General features: G+C 46.1%; 1 pseudogene; it reads right to left on the bottom strand.

Moving 5' to 3' along the window:
* Nucleotides 1–7,557: 7,557 nt before the first annotated feature.
* Nucleotides 7,558–8,103, bottom strand: RPL38P6 (RPL38 pseudogene 6; annotated as a pseudogene).
* Nucleotides 8,104–10,043: the final 1,940 nt, after the last annotated feature.

Below are 10,043 nucleotides of genomic sequence, written 5' to 3'. Positions count from 1 at the left end.
TTTCTGGTCTGACATGTGAAAAAGCTTGGAAGTTATCACTTTTGTGCTTACGACAAGAAAAAAACTGAACAAACTAACAACTTTTCTTAGATTCATCAGAGAATTGAGGTCACAGGGCAAACTGCCATCCCAAATACCAGAGAAAGAGGTGGTTACCGAGAAGCACAGAGAACATCTTACCAGTAGCTGAAGCCTGTACTGATAGAAAAACTTAAACTGTAATTGACAGATTGCAGGAGGCTCAGCCTGTGGACAAACTTAAAGAGTTAAAAACTCACGCCTGTAATCCCAGCACTTTGGGAGGCTGAGGCAGGTGGATCACCTGAGGTCGGGAGTTTGAGACCAGCCTGACCAACATGGAGAAACCCCGTCTCCACTAAAAGTACAAAATTAGCTGGGCGTGGTGCCGCATGCCTGTAATCCCAGCTACTGGGGAAGCTGAGGCAGGAGAATCGCTTGAACCCGGGAGGCGGAGGTTGTGGTGAGCTGAGATCATGCCATTGCACTCCAGCCTGGGAAACAAGAGTCAAACTCCATCTAAAAAAAAAAAAAAAAAAAGAAAAAGAAAAAAATGCTGAGAAGCACTTATGAAGGTCACAGCCCAGAGGCACAGGCTTGCCAAAAGACCTACTCATAGGATTATAGAATACTTCCTCCTCCCCAACACCTTACCACTATGTTAATCGGCCTCCTGTATAACAGTGGATTACATTTAAAAGAACGGCAAGGCTCAGACTCTATTTTCAGAAGTTGTCACTAGAGAAACCCAAAGAAAACAGGGGATACATGGCCAGGCACTGTGGCTCACATCTGTAACCCCAGCACTTTGGAAGACCGAGGTGGGTGGATCACTTGAGGCCAGGAGTTTGAGACCAGCCTGGCCAACATGGCGAAACCCCATCTCTATTAAAAATACAAAAATTAGCCGGGTGTGGTGGTGCACACCTGTAATCCCAGCTACTCAGGAGGCTGAGGCAGAAGAATTGCTTAGACCCGGGAGGTGGAGGTGGAGGTTTCAGTGAGCCAAGATCATGCCACTGCACTCCAGCCTGGGTGACAGAGTGAGACTGAAAAAAGAAAAAAAAGAAAGGAAGAAAGGAAGAAAGGAAGAAAGGAAGAAAGAAAGAAAGAAAGAAAGAGAGAGAGAGAGGGAGGGAGGGAGGGAGGGAGGAAGGAAAGAAGGAAGGAAGGAAGGAAAAGAAAAGAAAGAGAGAGAAAGAAAAGAAAGAAAAGCAAACAGGGGATACAAAAACAAGGACATTGGAAAATAATTTTAACCCATAACACATACAGCTACAACAACAGCAAACACAGCCTAACTCCTAGCTCAACAAGGACATCGGAAAATAATTTTAACCTCTAACACATACAGCTACAATAAAAAGTAAACACAGCCTAACTCCTAGCCAAATAATCATAAAGCATTACCCTAAAGGCCTGTCTACCTCAGTTTCTTTAATGTGAAGCATCACGTCTAGGTTTCAACAAAAAATTGTATAAGGCATGCTAAATGGCAAAAAATGAAATTTGGAGACATAAAGCAAGCATCAGAACCAGACTCAGATATGACAGAGATTTTGGAATGATCAGACCTGCAATTTAAAATAACTATGATTAACATGCTAAGGCCTCTAATGGAAAAAGTGAACACCATGCAAGAACAGATAAGTAATGCAAGCAGAAAGATGGAAACTCTAAGAAAGAATCAGAAGGAAATGCTGGAAATTAAAAACACTGCAAGAGAAAGGTAGGGGGATGGGGGAGGGATAGTAAGAAAAAAAATAAAAAAATAAAAAAAGAGAAAGGTAGAGGCCGGGCGTAGTGGCTCACAGCTGTAATCCCAGCACTTTGGGAGGCCGAGGTGGGCAGATCACGAGGTCAGGAGATCAAGACCATCTTGGCTAAGAAGGTGAAACCCCATCTCTACTAAAAATAAAAAAAATAAAAAAAATTAGCCGGGTGTGGTGGAATGTGCCTGCCTGTAGTCCCAGTGACTCGGGAGGCTGAGGCAGGAGAATCGCTTGAACCCAGGAGGCACAGGTTTCAGTGAGCAGAGATCATGCCACTGCACTCCAGCCTGGGTGACAGAGTGAGAGTCCTTCTCAAAAAAAAAAAAAAAAAAAGAGAGAGAGAGACAGAGAAAGGTAGAATGCATTTGATGGGCTCATCTACTCATCTGTAGACTGGACATGACCAAGGGAAGAATCCGTGAGCTTAAAGATATGTCGGCTGGGTGCAGTGGCTCACGCCTGTAATCCCAGCACTTTGGGAGGCCGAGGCAGTGGATCACAAGGTCAGGAGTTAGAGACCAGCCTGGCCAATATGGTGAAACCCTGTCTCTACTAAAAGCACAAAAATTAGCTGGGCGTGGTGGGGTGCACCTGTACTCCCACCTACTCGGGAGGCTGAGGCAGAAGAATTGCTTGAACCCAGGAGGTGGGGTTGCAGTGAGCCGAGATCATGCCACTGCACTCCAGCCTGGGCGACAGAGTGAGACTCTGTGTCAAAAAAAAAAAAAAGATATGTCAATAGAACTTCTAAAACTGAAATGAAAAGGGAAGATATGATGAAAAAGATAGAACAGACTATGCAAGATCCAAGAACTGTGGAACAATTACGAAAGGTATAACTTACATGTAGTAGGAATACCAAAAAGAGAAGAAAGTGAGAAAGGAACAGAAGAAATATTTGACATAATAATGGCTGAGAATTTTTCAAAAATTAATGACTTTTTAACTCAAAATTTCTAGATCACTGCAATATTAACAAAATCTTTTTTTTTGGTTGTTTTTGTTTTTATTTATTTATTTATTTATTTTTGAGATGGAGCCTCACTCTGTCACCCAGGCTGGAATACAGTGACATGGTCTTGGCTCACTGCAACGTCCACCTTCCAGGTTCAGGCGATTCTCCTGCCTCAGCCTCCCAAGTAGCTGGAATTACAGGGACTCACCACCACGCCCAGCTAATTTTTGTATTTTTAGTAGAGACGGGGTGTCATCATGTTAAACAGGCTGGTTTTGAACTCCTGACCTCAGGCGATCCGCCCGACTGGGCTTCCCAAAGTGCTGGGATTATAGGCGTGAGCCACTGTGCCTGGCCCAAAATTAACAATTTTTTTTTTTTGACATGGTGTTTTGCTCTTGTCGCCCAGGCTGGAGTGCAATGGCGAGCTCTCAGCTCACCGCCTCCTGGGTTCAGGTGATTCTCCTGCCTCAGACTCTCAAGTTGCTGGGATTACAAGCACCCGCCATCATGCCCAGCTAATTTTTGTAGAGAGGGGGTTTCACTATGTTGGCCAGGCTGGTTTTGAGCTCCTGATCTCAGGTGATCTGCCCGCCTCAGCCTCCGAAAGTGCTGAGATTACGGGCGTGAGCCACTGTGTCTGGCCCCAAAAAAAATTTTTTTGAGACAAGGTCTTGCTCTGTTGCCCAGGCTGGAGTGCACTGGCATGATCACTGCTTACTGTAGTCTTGACCTCCTGAGCTCAAGCAATCCTCCCACCTTAGCCTCCCGATTAGCTAGGACTACAGGTGTGTACCACCATGCCTGGCTAATTTTTTTCATTTTAAAATTATTATTATTTTTGAAACAAGGTCTTCCTTTTATTTTATTTTATTTTATTTTTTTGAGATAGAGTCTCACTCTGTCGCCTCACCCAGGCTGAAGTGCAGTGGCGCAATCTCAGCTCACTGCAATCTCTGCCTCCTGGGTTCAAGCGATTCTCTTGCCTCGGCCTCCCAAGTAGCTGGGATTACAGGTGTGCATGACCAAGTCCAACTAATGTTTTTGTATATTTAGGAGAGACGGGATTTCACCAAGTTTGCCAGGGTGGCCTCAAACTCCTGACCTCAAGTGATCCCCGGCCTCAGCCTCCCAAAGTGCTGGGATTACAGGCGTGAGCCACCACGCCCGGCTGAGACAGGGCCTTTCTCTGTCACCCAGGCTGGAGTGCGGTGACGCAACCATGGCTCAATCACTGCAGCCTTAACCTCCCGGGCTCAGGTGATCCCATCTCAGCCTCCCGGGTAGCTAGGACTACAGGCGTGTACCACCACGCCTGGAATTTTTTTCTATTTTTAGTAGAGATGAGGTTTCACCATGTTGGCCAAGCTGGTCCTGAACTCCTGGGCTTAAGGGATCCGCCCACCTCGGCCTCCCAAAGTGCTGGGATTACAGGCGTGAGCCACCACACCTGGCCATCTTTGCCAATCTTAAGTGGTTGGGTAGAAGATAAACACATAGATCCTTCCTTTACACTGCCCACGAGCGATTACAAAAAGAAATGAGTTCTGCAGTAGGGATTGTCCAGGAAAAAAAAAAAAAGTGAGAACAAAAAAATTCCATTTAACTTCTAGTTAAACATGACAAATGAAATGGGGATTTATCTTTATTCCCTTGAGATGTTGCTAAAATGAATTAAATAAATAACTGAGTAAGATGAATACAAGGCATGAGGCAACAGGAGAGGGGAGACAGCAAAAAGACCAATGTATATAATTTAGTACCATTTGTGCAAAAAAAAAAAAAGGTGGTGGGGAAGAGGAAGAATAGGTGTATGTTTGTTTACATATGCATAAAATATTATTTGTAGAAACACAAGAATCTAGTTATATGGACATCCTGGAGAGGTGAGTGGAGGGGCTGGGAGAAGAGTGGGAAGGAGGCTTCAATGCACAGCCTTTGGTACATCATTGACAGTGTGAATGATGTAAATATTTTCCTATTCAAAAATAAATTACTACAATTTGGCCCGGCGCAGTGGCTCACGCCTGTAATCCCAGCACTTTCGTAGGCTGAGGCCGGCGGATCACCTGAGGTCAGGAGTTCAAGGCCAGCCTGGCCAACATGGTGAAACCCCGTCTCTACCAAAAATACAAAAATTAGCCAGGTGTGGTAGTGCACGCCTGTAATCCCCGCTACTCAGGAGGCTGAGGCAGGAGAATTGCTTGAATCCAGGAGATGGAGGTTGTGGTGAGGTGAAATGGCACCATTGCACTCCAGCCTGGGCAACAGAGTGAGACTCTGTCTCAAAATAAATAAAGAAATACATAAATAAATAAATTACTACAATTTAAAATTTTAAAATACAAATGAAAGTATTTCCAAAAGGAGAGATAGCCATTAAGCAAATAACTGTATAAATAACTCTATGATTCCATAAAGGAAATATTCAGAGTGTTGTTACAGATAGAACAAGGCCTCCCAAAGTGCTGGGATTACAGGCGTGAGCCACCGCACCTGGCTTCTTCTTTTAATAACGGTTCTTTTGGTGAAATTCTCTTGGCCATAAACTCCCTAAGATTTTGGCCTGAGGTCTGGGGCTTTGTGGAAGGCCTCCCTGAAGCTCCCAAATGGATAAGGAGAAGGCATTCCAGATGGGTCAAACATGGGCAGCGTGCTGCGGTGGGAAGGGGCAGTGAACAGGCCAGAAAAAACAACTCAAGTTTTTATTTATTTCCTTTTTTTTTATTTTGTCAGATAAAATGTCACACATATTTATTTATTTTTATTTTTACTTTTTGGAGATGGAGTCTCACTCTTGTTGCCCAGGCTGGAGTGCAGTGGCAGATCTCGGCTCCCTGCAACCTCCGCCTCCCCGGTTCAAGCAATTCTTCTGCCTCAGCCTTCCGAGTAGCTGGGACTACAGGCACATGCCGCCATGTCCGGCTAATTCTTTGTATTTTAGTAGAGACAGTCTTTCATCGTGTTGCCCAGGCTGGTCTCGAACTCCTGAGCTCAGGCAATCCGCCCGCCTCGGCCTCCCAAAATGCTAGGATTACAGGTGTGAGCCACTGCGCCCGGCCTGGTCACACATATTTATTACTAAACAAACCACTAGTGCGGAAGCATAGAAACAGAGAAAATCATTTACTCAATAAAACATGTCTTACTGTCCAGATAGCAGTGACATTTTCAGTTTGATATGGTAAGATGACAGTGACCTTGATGCAGCATAAATATGTCAGCTCATGTACAATTCTCGCTGGGTTATCAGGGCAGAGGGTTAAGGCAGAGGGTGGAGCAAATGCAAAGGCCCACAGATGGAAGAATGCTTAGAATGCTTGGGTGGGTGGAGCATGACAAGCACGTGATAGGGATGAGCTCAGAGAGGGTGTGCGGGAAGACGGAAGGTGTAAAGCCTCATCGCTATTGTGAGCACTGTGGCTTTTACTCTGAGATGATAAGCAACAGTAGGATGTTTCTTAAGTGGGGGAGAGGAAAGGCCGGGCGCTGTGGCTCATGCCTGTAATCCCAGCACTTCGGGAGGCCGAGGCGGGCGGATCACGAGGTCAGGAGATCCAGACCATCCTGGCCAACATGGTGAAACCCCGTCTCTACTGAGAAAAATACAAAAATTAGGGCCGGGCGCGGTGGCTCACGCCTGTAATCCCAGCACTTTGGGAGGCCAAGGCAGGCGGATCACGAGGTCAGGAGAGCGAGACCATCCTGGCTAACACGGTAAAACCCTGTCTCTACTAAAAATACAAAAAAAATTAGCCAGGCATGGTGGCGGGCCCCTGTAGTCCCAGCTACTCAGGAGGCTGAGGCAGGAGAATGGCGTGAACCCGGAAGGCGGAGCTTACAGTGAGCCAAGATTGCGCCACTGCACTCCAGCCTGGGTGACAGAGCACGACTCCGTCTCAAAAAAAAAAAAAAAAAAAAAAAAAAAAAAAGGCCGGGCACCATGGCTCACGCCTGTAATCCCAGAACTTTGGGAGGCCGAGGTGGGCGGATCACGAGGTGAGGAGTTAGAGACCAGCCTGGCTAACATGGTGAAATCCCGTCTCTACCAAAAATACAAAAATTAACCAACCCAGCTACTCAGGACGCTGAGGCAGGAGAATTGCTTGAACCCAGGAGGCAGAGGTTGCAGCGAGCCGAGATCACACCACCGCGTCCCAGCCCAGACGACATAGTGAGACTCCGAATCAAAAACAAACAAACAAACAAACAAACAAACAAAAAAGATGGAGAGGAAGGATCTGACTTGAGCTTTAGAAGAATAAATCAGGCTTACGGAGTCTGAGAATGAGTGGTACAGGAGAGAGGGCTGAGATAGGCAAATCAGGCAGGAGGCTGTGAGGAGATAGCGGTCGTTTGGATCAAGGTGGTAGCAGTGGAAGGGAAGAAGAGATTCTGGTCAGAGTCTGGATTTATTTATTTATTTGTTTGTTTATTGAAATGGAGTTTCGCTCTTGTTGCCCAGGCTGGAGTGCAGTGGCGTGATGATGGCTCACTGCAACCTCCGCCCCCTGAGTTCAAGCAATTCTCCTGCCTCAACTTCCCCAGTAGCTGGGACTACAGGCGCCTGCCCTCATGCCCAGCTAATTTTTAGTATTTTTAGTGGAGACGGGGTTTTACCATGTTGGCCACACTGGTCAAACTCCCGACCTCAAGTGATCCACCCACCTCGGCCTCCCAAAGTGCTGGGATTACAGGCGTGAGCCACCACACCTGTACCTGGATGTATTTTAAAGGAAGAACTGATATAGTTGTTTGTTTTTTGTGTGTGTGTGTTAGTATTTTAATACAGTTCAAATCAGTGTGTATGGTTCATTTCAGCTCCTTCACTGCCAAATTAGGGGGCAGGGACTGCTTCAGTTTCTCTGCCTTCTCTTTTTCCCTATGACCGTGGTGGACAGGTATCTGCTAAATTGAACTTCAAATTTCGCATTGTCCTTCTTTTATTTATTTATTTATTTATTTATTTATTTATTTATTTATTTATTGAGACGGAGTCTAACACTGCCCCTGGGCTGAAGTGCAGTGGTACGATCTCGGCTCGCTGCAACCTCTGCCTCCCGAGTTCAAGCAATTCTCCTGACTCAGCCTCCCGAGTAGCTGGGACTACAGGCATGTGCCACCATGCCCGGCTAATTTTTGTATATTTAGCAGAGATGAGGTTTCACCATATTGGCCAGTCTGGTCTTGAACTCCTGACTTCGTGATCCACCCTCCTCAGCCTCCCAAAGTGCTCAGATTACAGGCATGAGCCACCACGCCCGGCCTGTCCTTCTTTTTCTTGATCTTGACAGATTTGGCATCCTTTCGCCAGGCAGTGAGCAGAAAGTGCTTGATTTCCTCAATTTTCTGAGGCATGGCAACAAGGCATGCAGGGAGTGGGGCAGACTGGCACCTGGGGTTCCCAAATTTCACCCAGCCATGGATTGCTCCAGATTACCCCTCTTGGCCAAATATCACCCCAGAGACCTGATATAACTGTTGATACAACAGTTGCGGATGCATTTGATATGGGGTGTGAGAGGAAGAGAGGGCTCCCCAAGTTATCAACTGAAAGTAGGAAACAAGTAAGAATGGTGGAAAAGCCAGGTGCTGTGGATTACAAACCCCAGCACCCTGGAAGGCCGAGGCGGGAGGATCTCTTGAGCTTAGGAGTTCAAGATCAGTCTGGGCAACATAGCAAGACCCTGTCTCTAAAAAAAAAAAAAAAAAAAAATTAGCCGGGCTTCTTGGTGGTGCATGCCTGTAGTCGCAGCTACTCAGGAGGCTGAGGTGGGAAGATAGTTTGAGCCTGGGAGGTGGAGGCTCTGATTAGCTGAGATTGTGCCACTGCACTCAGCCTGGACAATAGAGACCCTGTCTCAAACAAACAAAAATAGAATGGTGGAGGAAGTGTTGGAGGTTTAAGGAGATAATGTCAGATAAAAAGCAGTACAGAAGTTTACAAGGGTGAGTCCAGGTGATTTGGGATGATGGAGAAATCTCAGATTTCTTGATGACTGGCTAAATAGAGCCAGGGCACATGGGATAAGTCCTAATGGCTTACAAGGCAGATTTTGATGGTGAAGCTGTGAGTATTGGGGTTGGGAAGAGAACAAGTAGTGCCCTTGTCCTTAAACAGTATTTTTATTATTTTATGAGGGCAATATTTGTTTAGATTTACCTAAGTGTTCATTACTTTCTTTGCTCACTATCCCATTATCCCCTTTTTTTTTTTGAGATGGATTCTTGCTCTGTCACCCAGACTAGAGTGCAGTGGTCTGTTATTGGCTCACTGCAACCTCTGCTCCTCTGGGTTCAAGCGATTCTTGTGTCTTCTGCCTCCCAAGTAGCCACAGGTGAGTGCCACCACATCTGGCTAAGTTTTATATTTTTAGTAGAGATGGGATTTTGCCATGTTAGCCGGGCTGGTCTGGAACTCCTGACCTCAGATGATCTGCCTGCCTCAGCCTCCCAAAGTGCTGAGATTACAGGCATGAGTCACCATGCCCGGCCTGTGTTCTATCTCTTTTTGCATTTCTTCAGGTATCATTCCCTTCTTGCTGAAGTAAATCTTATAGGTATACTTTTCACCCTGTCTTTTTTTTTTTTTTTTTTTTTTTTTGTGACGGAGTCTCTTTCTGTCACCTGGCTGGAGTGCAGTGGCACAATCTCAGCTCACTGCACATCCTCCTGCCGGGTTCAAGCAATTCTCCTGCCTCAGCCTCCCGAGTAGCTGGGACTACAGGCACATGCCACCACGCCTAGCTAATTTTTGTATTTTTAGTAAAGACAGGTTTTCACCATATTGGGCAGGATGGTCTCGATCTCTTGACCTCATGATCCGCCCACCTCGGCCTCCCAAAGTGCTGGAATTACAGCTGTGAGCCACTAAGCCCGGCCTTTTCTCTGTCTTTTAATTTTTTTTTTTTTTTAATAGAGATGGGATCTCACTATGTTACCACAGCTGGTTTTCAACTCCTGGCCTCAAATAGTACTCCTGCCTCAGCCTCTCAAAGTGCTGGATCATAGGTGTGAGCCACTTCTCCTGGCCATACAGCTGTATTTTTAAAAAAAAACAACTTTGCTTTGATTTTTTTTTTTTTTTTTTTGAGACGGAGTCTTGCTCTGTCACCCAGGCTGGAGTGCAGTGGCACAATCTCGGCTCACTGCAAGCTCCGCCTCCCGGGTTCACGCCATTCTCCTGCCTCAGCCTCCCAAGTAGCTGGGACCACAGGCGCCCACCACCATGCCCGGCTAATTTTTTGTATTTTTAGTAGAGATGGAGTTTCACCGTGTTAGCCAGGATGGTCTCCATC

This window comes from Homo sapiens, chromosome 2 (assembly GCF_000001405.40).
Source record: "Homo sapiens chromosome 2, GRCh38.p14 Primary Assembly".
Taxonomy (NCBI): Eukaryota; Metazoa; Chordata; class Mammalia; order Primates; family Hominidae; genus Homo; species Homo sapiens.
This window is presented reverse-complemented; position numbering and strand designations above follow the sequence as displayed.